Source organism: Homo sapiens, chromosome 3 (genome assembly GCF_000001405.40).
Source record: "Homo sapiens chromosome 3, GRCh38.p14 Primary Assembly".
In the NCBI taxonomy this organism is placed as follows: Eukaryota; Metazoa; Chordata; class Mammalia; order Primates; family Hominidae; genus Homo; species Homo sapiens.
The window spans coordinates 189,231,808-189,250,579 of NC_000003.12; the positions used below are offsets into that span (position 1 = coordinate 189,231,808).

An 18,772-nucleotide genomic window follows, 5' to 3' on the forward strand; every position below is an offset into this window, starting at 1 on the left:
TGCATAGCTACTAGCACAATACCTGATCCATAGAAGACCCTCAATATATGGAGGCTTCTGTTGTTATAATCTAAGAAAACTTCATGGCAGAATTATTCCTCAGTTCATGTAAATTTCAGAAGCTTCAAACCTGGTTTGTGTGTGTGTGTGTGTGTGTGTGTGTGTGTTTGGGTGTATATCTATCTCTTTCAACTAAAACTTAATGTTTGTGATTTTTATTGTATTTTTAGAACTTACAAAGCCCTTTGTTTTATAAAGAAAAAAATGGCCACTTTTTTTTTCTGTAATCAACTGGAACAATATGATGGAACTCATGGTAGGACTTTCCTTACTAAAGAGAAAAAGTAGCTTTTAAGGGATACATAAATGGGTGTTTCCAGGTTTTTCCTACCTGTCTTTTATGGGGATACTCTGTCTGTCTTATACTAAGTGCACCTTAAAGAAGTGTTAACAAAATGAATAAATACTCCTGAATAAATACTCCTGAGTCCTTTCCTTGTGAACATTTCAAAGAATCATTCGTACTTTGCAACTTGTGCTTTTCCAACCTTGAGATTTTTACCAAACAGCAGGAAATGAAGGGTTGATAAGATAACCTTTTTCAAGGGCATCGAATAGATACATGGAGTAGCAAGCCCTATGGGCAAGAGGCTGGGAATCTGGGGACCTGAGTTCAGCTTCTGTGGGCTTGAGTTACCATTGTCAAGCCTCGTTACACCACACTACTCTTCCTTACATATTCCCCCTCACATCTCAGAGGATTGTATATTCCTTAATAATGGTATAATATTCTCTCTGTTCCTGGTAATTAGTACAGAGCCTGGTATGTGACTGTCTGCATGGGATAGTGGGGGGAAAAGTGAACTCCAGGGAGTCAAGTCAGGAAACCTGGGAACAGGGAAGGTTGGTGACCATTGGGTTTCTATTAGTATCCTGTGTTTACTTTGAGAGTCCTCTATTTTAAGCAAATTGGAAAGACCCAGGGGAAGAGGAACCAAATGACTGAAAGAAAAATATGTGAATCTGTGGATTAGTTAGCTAAAGGTCTTCCACGACTCCACTTAACTCAGAGGGAGAGAAATTGCTTTCCTTTAGTGCCGTGCATTTTTCATCTGTTTGTGTTTGAAGAGCAAAACAAAATTGGATCCTCTTCAGGGCCTGAAACCCAGTGGGTGATCAGGGAATACGTGTGGAATGAATGATTCAGTTTTTTCCTCCTGGGTTGCTGATTCCTTGTTAGCCAAGATACTATCTTTTCAAGGGCTGGGCTAAGAGGTTTGAAGGGTGCATGAAGGTTGATTTGTAAATTAGGAATAGTAACTATTTAATATAAAGGAAGATACCTCTACTGAGTGTGTATGTGTGTGTGTGTGTGTGTGTGTGTGTGTGTTTGTGTGCAAGAGAGGGAGACAGAGAATAATATTAAAATAAAATCTTTCTTGGAAGGAAATTATTTCCAAACCACAAAATAATTTGACACAGCTTTAAAAGAGCAACTGAAAGTATTGCTGGGCGTGGGACTGGGGCCACTGGGAGGGCATCTGTGATGATTTGAGTAACTGGGTGTGGGCACTGGAAGCTCTCAGGATGGATCCAGCCTGTGATTCCTAGTTGCCTGTTGCCCTCTGCTGGTGAAACTGTTGTCATCCCAGGAAACTGAAGACTCACGAGTTCTCAGGTGCCTTTTTATCTGGGGGAGAACCTAGGCTCCATCTCCTCAATTGGGGAAGTGATAATGGTGCTGAGGAAAAGTGGCAACTGGAAGAGATGCACAGACTCCTTCGCCAGGGAAGACGGGCTCTCACAACAGAGGGAATGGATCTCATGGTTCTATATTTTTCATTCTGTGACCTGCTCATTTGTTGAGCCCTTACTCTCTCTTTGACTCTTTGCTGAGCACAGTGAGGAGACACAGATAAAAATAAAGCACTGATTCTACACTAGAGAGGCATCCATTTAATATGCGTGGAGGGAGGAATGGGTAGGATAGAAAGCACTGTAACATAGAGAAAACTGTGATTAGGGCCACAACTGAAGCACTGATAGAGGCATGTGCACATTGATTGATTGATTGATTGAAGGAGACAGGGTCTCATTTTGTACCCCAGGCTGGAGTGCAGTGGTGCTACAATAGCTCACTGCAACCTCAAACTCCCGGACTGAAGTGGCCCTCTCACCTTGGCCTCTCAGGTAGCTGGGACTATAGCCGCGGACCAACACACCCAGCTATCTTTCTTATTTTTTTATTTTTAGTAGAGACAAGGTCTCCCTGTGTTGCCCAGGCTGGTCTCAAACTCCTGGGCTCAAGTGAGCCTCCCACCTCAACCTCTCAAAGTGTTGAGATTACAGGCCTGAGCCACCACGCTTGGCCTTGTGCATATTTAAAGGGAGGAAAGATATTAGCCACTTGTGGGTAGGGGAGGTGAGGGTAAGTTTCCATGGAATAGACAGCATTTAAGCTGCAAACCTATGGATGGGTAATTTATTTAAAAAATGCCACTGATATCAAAAAGTTTAATGTGTTTATGGTCAGAAAAAGTAAACTCTGGCAAATAAAAGCATAAAAAGTAATAAAAGTCACCTGAAATTCCACCACTTACAAATAATCACTGTTAACATTTTGATATGTGGATTATTTTGTTGTTGATACAAAATCGGAAGGATACCGCAGGTAACATTCTGTATCCTGCTCTTTCTCACTATTTTGGCATGAACATTTCCGCAATGTTACTGATTGTTTATTGACAGAAAATACGTTATTTTGTGGGGTACTATTGCAATATATAAACCTGAAAGTCGGGTTCCCCAAACAGCATGAACCAAGGCATATAGGTTGTGCAGTGCCAGGATAGCTTGTGTTTTTAGTAATTCATTTCAGAAGTATGTTTTGGATACTACAACCTTGGAGACACAAGGCTAAGAACTGAATTTGTATTTTCAGAGTTTACAGTATAGGAGGGGAGACAGACATTAATTATGTAATCATAGAAATAACTATACAATAGCATCCAAGGTAAGTACCATAAGTGGGAAATATGTGTGGTCTGAAAGTGTATATCAGAAAGAAGACAAGTAGCCACAGAGGTTTGAGAAGGCTTGCTGGAGTAAAGGGTAATGGAGCTCAGCTCTGTCAGAGTTAACTAGGTGGAGATTCATGAACAACATTGCCAGCAGAGGGAACAGCATGTACAAAGGCCTTTAAGTTGGAGGGGGCACAGTGAATACAAGGATCTGAAAGAAGATAAAGGAAATGGAGTGGAGGGACTTGGCCTGAGAGGGAATTGAAGAAGTAGGTAGAGCTTGACCCTGCAGAAACTTTTAGACCAGGGTAAGGTTTTTGTAATTTCTCAGAAAAGCAAGAACTGTTGAAGTGTTTTGAACCAGGGTAGGGCGGTAAAGATGAGGTTTGCTTTTTTTTTTTTTTTTTCCAAAGGATCCCCTCACTGCAGTAGGGTGAAGGGATTGGAAGGCAGCAAGAGTATATGTAAGTAAATCAGGTTTGGGTGACTAGTAACCCAAGCCTAGAGTGAGAGTGATTGCAATCATCTAGGCAGCAGATGATGAAAGACTGAATTAGAAGAGTGAAAGGGAAGATGGAGAGAGGTGGGTGGTGTTGACATCTTTATCTTAGGAGTAAAATTTGTAGGACTAGGCATGGAATGTGAGGAAATACGGTGAGTCTGAATGACTCCCAGGTCTCTAGCTTGAATAACTGGATGGAGGGAGGGTTCTTCCCCAAGCTAGGGGACACTGAAAGGGGACAAGGGCGGAAAAAGACAGTCTTGATTGTTGTTCTGAAGAAGTTTGCTAGAAGGAAAAATTCTAGGAATGGTGTGTCTCATCACATCAGCTTCTTGCAGAGGTTGGTTTTACCATGTTTACAAACCACACTGAAGGGTCCACTTTTGAAAGGTTGGTAGTACTGAGGAGAAAGCAAACACTATGCCTGGATATGGTGTCTCAGTACCTGTGTCGAGTCCCTGCACCACTGTTTGTTGGGTGCAGAGCATTGAACAAGTCATTTTAAGGATCTGTAGACCTTAGTTTGTCTTCAAAATGAGGGTAATAACATTTAGACCAAAGGGTTCTTGTGAAGATTAAAGGACAATGTTGATATTCAAGGACCTTGTAAACCTTTCTGAGCTGTACAAACACAATATATCTTTATTCCTATATTTGTTGTTATTGCCACTTAAAGCTCAATGCTATTAATGTTTGGAATATGCAATTTAATGTTTCTCCATGAGTTCTTAGGGGAGAAAGTGTGAATGATGTCTAAATAAATCAATACACAACCCAGGAACTTGAGATGGTGGCCCCAAACTATTTATAAGCCTGTATGTTTACTTGAATTTAGATATTCCTGACATGTAAATTATGCAGAGTTTGTGTCAGAGCAGAGCACTCTGTATTCCTAAAAAGAATCCTCCTTTTTTTCTGAATCCTTTACCTTTTAAAATACATCTCATTATGGAGTGCTGACATTTTCAGTAAAACCATTCAACCAAAAGCTGCAGTTTTTTTAGACTAAAACAAGTCTGGTTTATTAGGCAGCAGCTTATAACTTACTGCTAAGTAGATGCAATCTATTTAGGGAAGTTTATGTAGATATCTGATAAGAAATTTTAGTCTTCATCTCTTTCTGACTAAGACTGAGAATGTCAAGCAGACTCTCAAGAATTTCCTCTTTCTCTCAAAGTGGAGGAGGAGGAGGTGACTATCACTGTTTGGAGGTGAGTATCCACTGGATGGAAACTGTTGAACCAAGACTTAAACTTTATGCCATTTCCTTTCACAATACCACTAACTGTACTATGGTATTCTAGCTGAGTGATTTTGGCCATAACCTTCTTCAAAGGGTTGTGGTAAGATATAGAACTAATACTTATGAATATATAATGGCAGGCATATACTAGGACCTCAATTAATGACCTCATTCTTCTTTTCTTCCTTTTTCTGCTTCTCCTTTCTTTCTTTCACTTCTGTCTCCCTTTTTCTGTCCTTTGTATCTTCTTCTCTGTGTCCTCCTATTGATTCAACTCCTAACTGCATCTTGCCTATCTGTCTTTAGACTGCACTGTGAAGTGGTACATAATTGGGTTACCCAAGTCACTTAGTGACACAGGTCCCTTCCAGCAATAGTAACAGCTAACTTATAAAGCCTTAACAGAGAATTATTTCTTTTAATCTTCTCCCCAAATGGATGATGTGAGTACTAGTATTGTCTTCATTTCACAGACGTGGAACCTGGGCCATAGAAAGGTTAAAAGTCCAATATTACAGAGTTAGTAAGTGATAAAGCTGCAGATTTCCACCTCCAGCCTCACACCACCAAAAGTCTCCCAAAATGGTGATAACTGGAACTTATTTATCCACTCAATAGATATGTATTTACTGCAGGCTATTTGACTGAAGGGGATGGAGTGAATAGCCCAACAGACACAGTCTCTGCCTTCATGGAACACACATACACACACATGCACACACACGCACACACACACACGCACTCACACACACAGGGTTGGTGCTCAGCCTACTCAGCTTGTACTTATTAGCATTTCCCTACCTTCAGTATTGTGGTGTATATTCTGATTGGTCAGTGCCCACATGGTACCCATTGCTAAGCATTTTATACTTCATTTCTTCTTACAAACTGTGATAAATGCTGCAAAGAGGAAAATATGTCTGCTTTGAGAAAATACAATGAGGCCAAGTTTATACAGGAGTTTAGGAAATCCTCTTTGAATGAGGCATTTGAACCATGACTTGAACAATGAGTGGTTTCAGCGTACTCTGAGATGACCCTGAGTAGAGGCCGGATTATACAGGCGTGTAGTCCATGTTATGAACCTAAAATCAAGGGGATGCTATTTAATAAAGTGAACAAGGAGTGACATCATTCAGTTTGTATGTTAAGAATTGCACTGTGGTTACTGTGTGGAGAATGGTGAGAATGGGGTGTCCATGCCATTTACACATTAGATTGATTCTGTGTGGTGAGGATTTAGACATGAATTGGTCATCAATCAACATTTTCAGTTTTTTAGGGAAAAACAAAACATGTACCAAAACAATTCTAGTGTAAGTCTCGAAGTGCTGTATCCTAAAGGCTACAGTAGGCAGATAGCAAAAGTGCTGTCGGTCTGGGGAATTATGAACCATGTTCACTCTCTTTTAACAAGAAGCTATTGTATTTTATTTCTGTTCTCTCTGTTGGAGAAATTCTGAATTCTCAGTCAGAATGTTACATGTGTGTCCTGGAAGGCTCTCACATCTGAGGCCAATTAATTCAGTAAACACTTATCTAGTTTATCTACTTATCTACTTTACTCTGGTTCATAAAAATCTCACTTCACTTGTTTCACTACATTTCTACCACAAGGATATGGTAGGATGAGCTGCAAATAGGAATGAGATAACTTGGAAGACAGCGGACCTGTGTTCCAGTCTCCGACTTACTTCCAGTCAGCAGTGCAACCTTCGGAAATTAGTGTAGGCTAGTTCGTAGTGAGTAAATTTGTGGTACGGATTCAGCTAGAACAAAGAGATATTTTTGGTGTCCATGAAGGAAGATGTCCTCTATGAAGTTTTCTAGAGAACTGGGAAAATGTTGGGAAGTATGAGTCAGTTGACTGCTAACACAACACACACTGGGTATTCCCCTAATGGATTCCATCGTGGGTAATCAACTATCTTTGAGTTCTGGGATGATAAAATATTTCTCCATCATCTTCCACCTTTCCTCCTTCTTTAGTCATGGGACCAGACTGAGTGGGGTAGTGGTGTGGTATTAGGTATTTCTCAGCCCCTCTCTCTTCTGAGTTGATCAAACTTCACTGTTTTCTGTGCTAGGAGAGATGTGAAGGTCATTGCTTTTAACTTAGGCTGTGTCATCAATTTTTATTTGCTATGATGATTCCTATAGGATAGACCACTGGAACAATGAGAAGGAGAGAATTCTACTGGTCACAGACAAGACTCTCTTGATCTGCAAATACGACTTCATCATGCTGAGTTGTGTGCAGCTGCAGCGGATTCCTCTGAGCGCTGTCTATCGCATCTGCCTGGGCAAGTTCACCTTCCCTGGGATGTCCCTGGACAAGTGAGTATATATCTTATACTTGAAGAAGTGGTGCAGCAGGGATGGACCTGCAGGGAAAACAAGCCGAAAATTCAGTTTGGCCCTGTAAACTGGGAGAACCCAAGGGAGGATAGTGAAATCATGAAAGTTGAAATCATTAAACTAGAGTTCCTACTCTATGTCAGCCTCCAGGGATACAACTTTAAGTAAATATATTAGTTCGTTTTCACACTGCTCATAAAGACATACCCCAAACTGGGAATACAAAAAGGTTTATTGAACTGACAGTTCCACATGGCTGGGGAGGCCTCAGAATTATGGCGGGAGGGGAAAGTCTCTTCTTATATGGCCGCAGCAAGAGAAAATGAGGAAGAAGGAAAAGTGGAAACCCCTGTTAAACTCATCAAGTCTCGTGAGACTTATTCACTATCAAGAGACTGGCATAGGCAAGACTGGACCCCATGGTTCAATTACCTCCCCCTGGTTCCCTCCCACAACACATGTGAATTCTGGGAGATACAATTCAGGTTGATATTTTGGTGGGGACACAGCCAAACCATGTCAGTAAATTTGTATTTTAGTATGAGGACGTGACAAATAAATAGCTAATGTAAGGAAGAAAGAGCTGTGGGAACATGGGGAAAATGCACTCAACCTAATTTGTGTGTCACGTAATCAGAGAAAACTTTCAGAAGAAACACTTGAGCCAATATTTAATATTGGGCAGGAGTTAGCCAAAGAAGGAGAACCAAAGGGGAAGAACATTCCAAAGCGGTAGCTAAAAAGAGTAATGCCTCTGGGAATTGAAATTATTCTGTAAAGCTCAGTGGATAGAACCAAAATGGGTAGTAGCTCTTCTTATAAAATGTCTCTTGGGATCATTCCTGGAAGTTCAGTGACGTAGGGGTGGTGAGGTGTGTCAACTGTTTCACAGATGTTGACAATTACCAAGAGACTTGGTGAGGTCTACAGAGGAGAATGCTGAATTAGGTAAGTTCCTGTCATAGTCTTCGAGGCATCTGCCTTTACTAAACATTTTAGATCTAAGCAAGAGAAACAACAGTCTTTCTCTAAGACTGAATGTGAGGTCTTCCCATTGAACCGTGAATTCCTTGCGGGCAAATGTTGATTTTGTTGTCCTTTAAGCACCTGGCATTAGGACTAGCACATAGTAGGGTCTGAAATCTTTTCAATATACAGAAAAAAGCACGAGTTCATCAAGTGACTTGCTTTCCTTACACTATGCATACTACATAAAAAACTTATTTTTGCTTACTCTTTTCATGGATGCAAAAAGTGATTAATTTATTAAGTTCATTAGCTTTTAAAACTGTTGATTTTTTTCAATAATAATATTACACATTGTAAAATATATATTTAAATATTACAAAAATGTTCATTTTCAGGAACTCTCTCTTCTACACCAGACCCTCGGTTCTTCAGCCTTCCCTCCATGGGTGATAGTCAACAGTTTCTTGTGTATTTTTAAATAAATAGTCTATAAATATAAAAGAATAAAAAGTTCTGTATTAGTCCATTGTCACGTTGCTGATAAAGATATACCTGAGATTGGGCAATTTACAAAAGAAAAAGATTTATTGGACTTACAGTTCCACGTGGCTGGGAAGGCCTCACAATCATGGCAGAAGGTGAAAGGCACATCTCACACGGTGGCAACAAGAGAAGAACTTGTCCAGGGAAACTCCTGTTTTTAAAACCATCAGACCTAATGAGACTCATTCACTATCACGAGAACAGCGCAGGAAAAACTTGCTCCCATAATTCAATCACCTCCCACCGGGTTCCTCCCACGACACATGGGAATTGTGGGTGTTACAATTCAAGATGAGATTTGGGTGGGGACATAGTCAAACCATATCAAGGTCTCTCTGTGTACATATGCCTATACACGTTTAAAAGTACATATCTACACACATATTTATTACATATTATTTTACCTAATGAAAGCACATGTCATAAACTGTCCTGCCTCATGCTATAATATCTACCAGTGATATAACTTGGAGGTTTATATAATCATCTATAGATCAATCTCAGTGTTTTTTAATAGTGCAGAATATTACCTCTTAAGCTTAATCTATTTAGCCAGTCCCTCATTGATGTATATCTATTTTTACCGTTGCTACTACAAAGTGCTGCTACAAATATCCTTGCTTACAAGACTTTGCACAAACATGTAATTGTTCCTTTAATGTATTAATGGATTTCTAGAAGTGGAATTTTTAGGTCAAAGTCATGTAAATTTTAACCGATGAGTATTGTCAAATTGCCTTCCAAACAGGTGCTACCAATTAATACTTTCACAAAGTATCAGGGTAATCTTTTCCACACACCCACACCAATATCAAGTATTACAAAACCTTTTTACATTGCCAGTGAGATAGTAAAGAAAAGTCTCTTATTTGGGGTTCAAATTGCATCACTAGAATTTGAAGAACGATATGTGTTTTTATCCTTGGGTTAGAAAGCCATATTATTTATTTTTCTGTGAACTGCCTATTTATGACTATAGCCCATTTTTTTTTTCCTGTTGGGATGTTTAATTTTTTTCTTATTGATTTGTAAGAGCTATTTGTGTATTAGAGAACTGAATTCCTTTTCTGTCCTATATGTTGCAAATAAATTTTTCCCAGTTTGTCATATCTCTTTTAACATTATTATGCTATTTTTCATGACCTTTAGTTTTGGGGTATTGATATGGTTTGGTTGTGTCCCCACCAAAATATCAACCTGGACTCTATCTCCCAGAATTTCCACATGTTGTGGGAGGGACCCATGGAGAGGTAATTGAATCATGGGGGCTGGTCTTTCCAGTGCTATTCTTGTGATAATGAATAAGTCTCATGAGATTTGATGAGTTTATTACGGGGTTCTGCTTTTGCTTCTTGCTCATTTTCTCTTGCTGCCACCATGTAAGAAGTGCCTTTTGCTTCCTGCCATGATTCTGAGGTCTTCCCATCCATGTGAAACTGTAAGTCCAATTAAACCTCTTTTTGTTCCCTGTTTGGGGTATGTCTTTATCAGCAGTGTGAAACAAACTAATACAGGTATCAAATTTCTCATTCTTTCAAGGCTTCTAAATTTATGTCTTTTTGAGAAAAGCTTTCTCCATACTATAATTATAAAGTAAATTTCCAAGTTTTTGTCTAGTAATTTTATTTTACTGTTAACAACGAACTTATATTTCATCTAAAATTTGCCTTGAGTAAAGAAGAAGGTATGCAATCAACTTGAATTTTTATCCAGATGGCAGGCTAGATTTCTCGATATCATATATTTGATATTTTATGTTTATTATTTTATAATGTAGTACTTTTCTCTGTGTGTTTCTGTACCTGGATTTTCTATTCCATTCCATTTGTGTCTCTTAAAGCTCAAAATGGTTTTAATTATTATAACCTTATATTATGTGTCAATATCTGGTTGAGTTATTCCCCATTTATTAATCGTTTTTTATTTATGCATATTTATTTTTTAATCAGCTTGTCTAATGTTTGAAAGTCTTATTTTTATTAAGATTTTCAAATATTAAGTCAGTTCTTCATTCCTAAGGTAAACATGTTTGGTTGTGACATATTATTCTTTTTATGCATTAGTGGATTTAGTTTGCTAATATTTTATGGATAATTTTTGTGCCTGTGTTCATGAGGGGTATTAGTCTGTTATTTTCATTTTTTAAAATGTTTTTGCTAGGTTTTCATATTTTGGCTATGCTGCCATCATAAAACAAGTTGGAAAATGTTCCCTCCTCTTTTATTTTTTAAAAGATTTTTTATATGAGTGGAGTTATCTTTTCATTGACTGTTTGATAGAGTTAATAAGGGAAATCTTGGCCTGATCATTTCTTGGTGGGAAATTCTCATAATAAAGTTAATTTCTTTTATAAATATTGTGTTTATCATAATTTTTTCTCCTCAGGAGGCCCTCCCATCACAGGTCCTGAGGCCTAAGAGGACTAATTTTTTTATTTCATATTAATTTTGATAAATTATATTTTTAAAGGAATTTGTTGTTTATTTAAGTTGTTGCAGCTGAAGGCATAAAGTTGTTAATAATATTTCCTTATAATCCCTTTAATGTCCATAAGATATTTAGTGATATCTTCTTTCTTTCCTCATATTGGTGATTTTATTTATTCTCTCATTGGTATAAAGAAATATTTAAGACCAGGTGATTTATAAAGAAAATAAGTTTAATTGGCTTATAGTTCTGCAGGTTATACAGGAAGCATAATGGATTCCACTTCTGTGGAGGCCTTAGGAAATTTCTAATCATGGCAGAAAACAAAGGGGGAGTGAGGCATCTTGCATAGTGGGAGCAGGAGCAAGAGAGAGAGGGGTAGGTGCTACATACTTCTAAGTGACCAGATCTCACTATTGTGAGGACAATACAAAGAGGATGATACCCATTCCTGCTAAATCTGCCCTCATAATCCAATCACCTCCCATTAGGCCCCACTTCTAACACTGGGGGTTTAGTCCTCCTAGGCCTCAGGACCTGTGATGGGAGGACCCCCCAAGGAGGTCTCTAAAATGCCTGTGAGTTGTTTTCCCTATTGTCCTGGCTATGAGCATTTGCTCCTTTTTATATATGCAAACTTCTGAAGCCTACCTGAATTCTTCCCCTGAAAATTGGCTTTTTTTTTTCCTACCATATGGCCAGTCTTCAAATTTTCCAACTTTTATGCTGTTTCTTCTTTAAACATGAGTCCAACTTTAAGTCATTTCTTTGCTCATATGTATGAGTATAGGTTCTTAGAAGCAGCCAGGTCACATCTTGAATGTGTTGATGCTTAGAAATTTCTTCCACTAGATAATCCTAAATCATCACTCTCAAGTTGAAACTTCCACAGATACCTAGGGCAGAGGCACAGTGCAGCCAAGTTCCTTGCTAAGGCATAACAAAAGTGACCTTTGCTCCAGTTCCAAATAAGTTTCTCATTTACATTTGAGACTTAATTAGCCTGGCTTTCACTGTCTATATCACTATCAGCATTTTGGTGATAACCACTCAGCCAGTCTCTAGAAAGTTCCAAACGTTTCCTCATCCTCCTGTCTTCTTCTGAACCCTCTAAACTCATTCAACCTCTGCCTGTTACCCAATTTCAAAGTTGCTTCCATATTTTTAGGTATCTTTATAGTAATGCCCTATTCCTGGTACCAATTTTCTGTATTATTCTGTTCTCTCATTGCTATAAAGAAATATCTGCGACTGGGTAATTTATTAAAAAAAGAGGTTTGCCGTGTGCAATGGCTCACACCTGTAATCCCAGCACTTTGGGAGGCCAAGGTGGATGGATCACTTGAGGTCAGGAGTTCGAGACCACCCTAGCCAACATGGTGAAACCCCGTTTCTATTAAAAATACAAAAATTAGCCAGGCATGATGGTGCATGCCTGTAATCCCAGGCTGAGACAGGAGAATTGCTTGAACCTGGGAGGTGGAGATTTCAGTGAGCCAAGATCGAGCCACTGCACTCCAGCCTGGGTGACAGAGATGAGACTCCATCTCAAAAAAAGAAGAAAAAAAAGAGGTTTAATTGGTTCAGAGTTCTGCAGACTATACAGAAACTTCTGTTTCTAGAGAGGCCTCAGGAAGTTTCCAATCATGGCAGAAGGAAAAAGGGAACAAGGCATCTCACATGGTAGGAGCAGGAGCAAGAGAGAAAGTGGGGAGATGCTACACACTTTTAAATGACCAGATCTTACAAGAACTCACTCACTATCATGAGGAGAGTACCAAGAGGATGGCATTAAACCATTCCTGAGAAATAGGCCCCCATGATCCAATCATCTTCCATCAGGCCCCACCTCCAACACTGGGGATTACAATTCAAGATGAGAATTGGTGGGGACACAGATCCAAACCATATCAGTGATCTGTGTCTTCCCTCTTTTTTCTCTTCTGTTGATGATCATACCAATTCTGTTGGTTTTTAACAAGATCATGCTTTTCACTTGGTTAACTTTTACTATTGTTTTGCTAATTACTAATTAGTTGATCTCTATCTCTGCTCTCTTTTTTTGTTGTTGAGGCAGTTTCACTCTTGTTGCCCAAGCTGGAGTGCAACGGTATGATCTTGGCTCACCGCAGCCTCCACCTCCGGAGTTCAAGCGATTCTCCTGCCTCAGCCTCCCAAGTAGCTGAGATTACAGGCAGGTGCCACCATGCCCAGCTAATTTTTTGTATTTTTAGTAGAGATGGAGTTTCTCCATGTTGGTCAGGCTGGTCTTGAACTCTCGACCTCAGGTGATCCGCCTGCCTTGGCCTCTCAAAGTACTGGGATTACAGGTGTGAGCCACTGCGCCCGGTTCATTTCTACTCTTTTCCTTATTATTTCCTTTCTTCTACTTTGGGTTTACTTTTTCTTTTTTTAACTTCTTGAAGTGCAGCCCAAGGTTATTGATTTTAAACTTTCCTAATATGAACATCTACAGTTATAAATTTCCTTTTAAGTACTACTTTTGCTGCTTCCCAGAGATTTTGATATGTTGTGTGTCTATTATCATTTAGAGATATTTTTAAATTTTTCTTGTGATTTTCCTCTTGACCCATGGATGCATTGTAAGTTGTATTGGCTAATTTCCAAATATTTCAGGTTTTTATAGATATCTTAATTATACTTAATTCTAATTTAGAGAGCATACTGTCTTTAATTTTATTCCTTACTGATACTTTCGGATTTGTTTTATGAAGCTCATTATGATATATCTTTGTGAATTTGTCATGTACACTTGAATTTTATTTGTAGTTTTTTACAAATATCAATTGGGATATTGTGTTTGATAATGCTATTTAGATTATATATATTTTTACTGATTTTTTGTGTAGTTTTTTAATAGTTACTGAGTGGAGTGCAAAAATCTATCACTGTGGAATTTTCTAGTTTTCTTTTTAATTTTGTTAACTTTTGCCTCACATATTTTGAGTCTATTATTAGGTGCATGCACATTTATGATTGGTGTCTTTCTGGTGAATTGAGCCTTTTTTTCATTATGAAGTATTCTTTATTTCTGGCAAAATTCTATGTTATAAAGTTTATTTTAAAATCTGACATTATTGTAACTACTGTGTCATCTTTATACTTACTGTTTGTATAGTGATATGATTTGGCCGTGTCCTCACCCAAATCTCATCTTGAACTGTAGCTCTCATAATCCCCATGTGTCGTGGGAGGGACCTGATGGGAGGTAATAGAATCATGGGGGTAGATTTTTCCCATGTTTTTCTCTTGATAGTGAATAAATCTCAATATATCTGATGGTTTTATAAAGGGCAGTTCCTCTGCACATGCTCTTTTGCTTGCCACCATGTAAGACGTCCCTTTGCTCCTCCTTCACCTTCCGCTATGATTATAAGGCCTCCCCAGCCACTTAGAACCGTGAGTCCATTAAACTTTTTTCTTTATAAATTACCTAGTCTTGGGTATTTCTTCATAGCAGTATAAAAAGGGAGTAATACACATAGCATGTTTTTTTTATCCGTTTACTTTCTACTTATTTATGTCTTTGTATTTAAAGTGTGTTTGTTGTAGAAATCACACAGTTGGCTCATGCTTTTAATCCATGACCTGCAAGATAATGTTATAACTTGTGCTTTAATAAATCATAAGTATTTCAAAGAAATTTAGATAAAATAGTCTTTTATATTTACTTAGATATTAACATGTATGATATTCTTCATTTCTTCCATAAGATTCATTTCCCTTTAATGTCATTTTTCCTATACATGAAAAATTACATTTTAGCATTTCTTGTAGTATAATCTAGTGGTGATACATTCTCCTAGTTTTTCTTTCTGAAAATACTTTTATTTAGTCTTAATTCTTGAGGAATATTTTCTCTAGTTATAGAATTTGGCTTGAGATTGTTACTTCTTTCTTCTTTCAGAACTTTCAAGACGTTGTTCCACCATTGCTTGGCTTCCATCTCTGATGAGAGGTCCACAATGATTTGAACTGCTATTCCTCTTTATGTTCTCTGGCTGCTTCACATTTTATCTTTATCTTTAGTTTTTAGAAATTTGACTTTGATGTGCTACATGTGCTTCTTTTTGTATTTACCTTGTTTGAGATTATCTAAGCTTCTCACATCTGTAAATTTATCTTTCAACAAGTTTCGGAGGTTTGGGGCTATTACTTTTTATTTCATTTTTTCTTTCTATTTGTTTTCCTGGTACTTAAATTACACATATGTTAGACTTTCTGATACTGTCCCACAAGTCTCTGAAGCTCTATTTTTTACCATTCTTTTCTGTGACTTATCTTCAAATTGGATAATTTTCGTTTATCTATCTTTATGTTCACTGAAATTTTTCTTTGTCATTTAATTCTGCTATTAAATCTATCCAGTATTTTTCATTTCAAATATTATACCTTTTTCTTTTAAAATATCCATGTAGTTCTTTAGTATAGGTTTTATTTTCTTAAGAAATTTTATATTTTTATTGTTTATAAGCATAGTTTCTTTTACCTAAGTTAGCATAATTACAATAATTGCTTTAAAGTTCTTTCTGATAATTTCAATCTCTTGTTCATCTCAGGATTGCTTCTGTTGACTGTCCCTTTTCTTGAGAGTGGTTCATATTTTCTTGTTTTTTTGGTATGTAAAATACTATGGGATTTATTCCTCCTTGAAATTGTGGAGACTACTTACTCTCCAAAGTCTTCAGGTAGTTTTTTTGGTTGTTTGTTTTTTTGGCAAAGTGGGGAGTGGAAGAATGGGTTTTATTCACTTATCAATTGTGTCTGTGGAATTTCAAGTTATTATTTTCAGGAAAAGCAGTCTGCTGGGAATCTATGCCTAGTTACTGAATTTTATCAAACGTTTTTGCTGCGTCTTTGAAGATGATCATATATTTACTTTTCTCCTTAGGTTTAATTAAAAATGGTCACACATTTCTTATTATTGAAACATTTTGGCAGGTTCAAGGTATGAATACTACCTGGAATTAGTATATACTTATTAATATACTATTGAATATTAATATGCTATTGAATATTAATTGCAAGTATTAATAGGTTTTTGCATTAATATTCATGTTTAATTGACATATAGATTTTTTTTTTAATTGGGCTATCCTTGTAAGTTTAGTTTCAATGTTAGATAATTTTCTTAAAAACTACTTTCTCTTTATTCTCTATTGACTTTATTAGATAAACAAATGGCTTTATTTGTTACTTAGAAGTTTGGTGTGTTTCACCTATGAAAATGCCTGAACCTGGTGCTTTTAAAGGAAGATAAACACTACAACTTTCTCAATTTTCTCTGTAGCACTGGCATGTTTAAATTTTTTTTCTTTCTTTTATGATAAGTTTCAGTCATTTATGTCTTATTAGAAGATCACTTAGTTTTGTTCAGGTTTGTAAATATTCACTCATTTGAGAAAGCCTAAAAGAGGTAATTAAAGTAATAATAAAAGTTTATTTTGCAGATAATTACTTTCTTCCTTGTGTGAGGATTCTGTTAGCTAATGATTGTTTGATAGATTTTAAAGTACCACTTCTTTTGGGTTTACTTGTTCACAATAGAATTCTTTTTTTTCTCATTCATTATTTTCTACATTTATCTGTATTATGTATTAATTCTATATTTGTATATATATATCTTGCATTTTATAACTTCACTTGAAATTTTAATTCATTTATGGTTATTTTTGTTAGATATATTAAGCTTTCTGACTCTTAAATTTTCTTCAGTGTGGCTTTTTCAGATACATAATAGATTTTATTATTATATTTCATATATCCTAATATTATTGTTTGTACATTTCCTCTTTGACCTGAGAATAGATTGAAGTAACTTTATTTAAAGTTGAATTTTTATGCTTTTAAATTTTGTTATTAATTTATAGTTTTATTACATTGTGTTCAGTGAATGTCTTCTCTTACTATTTCTACTCTCTGGAAATTACTAAATATGTTTACCTTTAAATTGCCAATTTTTTTTTATCAATTTCTTAAATACTTAAATGTGCTCTCTCTGCTTTCTACTTTCTCTCTCCTTGGAATTAGCATATCACTATTATACTACTTTCTTTCTTTTTGGAATTAGTATATCATACATACAGAGTTCTACATATAGAGTAAATAAATGGTAGTGAGATTAGTATATCATATATATAGAGTTCTACATATAGAGTTTCATAAGTGGTACGGAGATCTACTATCATGTTATTTAGGTATACTCTATCTTGGTCTGTTTAGTAATAAATGTTTTATATATATATATAGCTACATTTAGTTATATACATGTAATGTTTATATATATGGCTACTTGATTTGTCATAGATTGAGATAGGATAAATTTTTTTATTACTGTGGTGGATTTCTTTTACTCTAGTGACTTTACATGAATGGTGATATTGTATTTTTTGTTGTAGAAATATTCATAGATGTTGAATCTTTAGATGTAATATTTTTCATTATAGAGTTTAATTACTTTAATACCTTTCCTGATGACTATTGCAACCCTTACATTCTTTTTCTTTGAACTTTCTTGGTATATCTTTGTCTATTTTACTTTAAGCATTTTGAGTCTCTGTGTTTTTGATGTGCACTTGCATACATCCTATAATTGAATTTTACTTTGTGATCCAATCTTGGGGTCTTTTTCTTTTAATGGGTAAGATTAACCTATTTACATATATTAGTATGACAGTTATGGCCTTAATTATAATATTTTGATTTTTGTATCATATTTTTAAAATATATTACCATGTTGTCTAATTTCCTTTGCTTTTCATTGAGTGCATTTTCTTCTAACAGAGTAATCATAGGTTTCTCTTTCTACTAGTGATTGTAAGTGTAACTTAATAGTCTTAGTCTTATCTTTTTTGAGTATTATCCATTGACTCCCTGATATAAACAGGGAGTCTCCCTGATGTAAACTTCCCATTTACAAGAACATCCCAGTTCCTTCACCTTATTTTTCTACTTCTACATCATTCTTTCAAGTTGCTTATAATGGTCATTATTAGTTACTTTAATGGTTATTTATTTAGAAAATATGCTTCCAGTTTATGTGCCATCTTAGTGTTCATTAAATCTCCTTCTAAAAGATGAAAAATTTGCATATTTGTATCATTCCCATAAAATCCCACCCTTATTCTCCCTTCTTTCATTAGTTTTACCAAAGAAACTCTAATTTTTCATGGAATATTATATTTCCCATGAGACATCCAATTGTTACCACTGGGGACTGATGTAATTCCAGCCTTCCTAATTAACCTGTGCAGCTTATTCAGATTTGCAACCTGTGGTTAGAGTGGGGAAGCCTGTGCCAGCAGCTGGCATCTGTTAAGTGTAAAGGGCTTTCTCTGGCCACCCTGGGCTAGGAACATACCATGATTAAGTGATAGTTGTTTATGTACTGCTCAGGGATTTTTAGCAAACATCCATATTAAAGTACTGCCAGAGGAATCCCGGGTTCTAGTCCCACTTTTACAACTGTTACTTTATTTGTTCATCTATTAAAAGGTGACATTAATCGTCATTCTGCTTCATTAACAGTCTTATTGTTAGGTTCTAATGACATAACTTGAAAGCCCTTTGTAATGTGCCTCATAGATTTCAGGTGTTAACAAGTTCTGATTTCCGCCCCCCCCCCCCCACCCAGATTAAAGCTTTTGTTAACATGGAACTAAGTAGACTAATTTGATTGTTATCTTTACT

At 36.5% G+C, this 18,772-nt stretch overlaps 1 protein-coding gene and 1 long non-coding RNA gene across 23 annotated transcripts in view, besides 1 other annotated feature; one reads left to right on the plus strand and one right to left on the minus strand.

The window, feature by feature from the left end:
- The window catches only part of TPRG1 (tumor protein p63 regulated 1), a 328,078-nt gene that overhangs the window by 234,581 nt on the left and 74,725 nt on the right, over positions 1-18,772 (plus strand). For 21 of the 22 annotated variants that reach the window (XM_047448032.1, XM_047448034.1, XM_047448028.1 and 18 more), the window contains one exon: positions 6,926-7,102. The exons of the other annotated variant lie outside the window; for it this stretch is intronic. In XM_047448032.1, the coding sequence (XP_047303988.1) occupies positions 6,926-7,102 (177 nt within the window). The remainder of the gene's footprint in view (positions 1-6,925; positions 7,103-18,772) is intronic. 22 annotated transcript variants of the gene reach the window in all.
- Positions 6,670-7,869: an enhancer, noted in NCBI's record as "CDK7 strongly-dependent group 2 enhancer chr3:188956266-188957465 (GRCh37/hg19 assembly coordinates)". NCBI's record gives its function as "activates an origin of replication core promoter dependent on BRD2, BRD4, P300/CBP, MED14 and CDK7 cofactors, with strong dependence on CDK7, by STARR-seq in HCT116 cells {active_cell/tissue: HCT116}" and the evidence as "EXISTENCE:reporter gene assay evidence [ECO:0000049][PMID:35650434]".
- TPRG1-AS2 (TPRG1 antisense RNA 2) lies at positions 6,879-8,787 on the minus strand. Its single transcript, NR_046722.1, has 3 exons — positions 8,690-8,787; positions 8,470-8,579; positions 6,879-7,149 (listed from the first exon to the last, which is right to left on the minus strand). It is a non-coding gene; the product is annotated as a TPRG1 antisense RNA 2 (long non-coding RNA).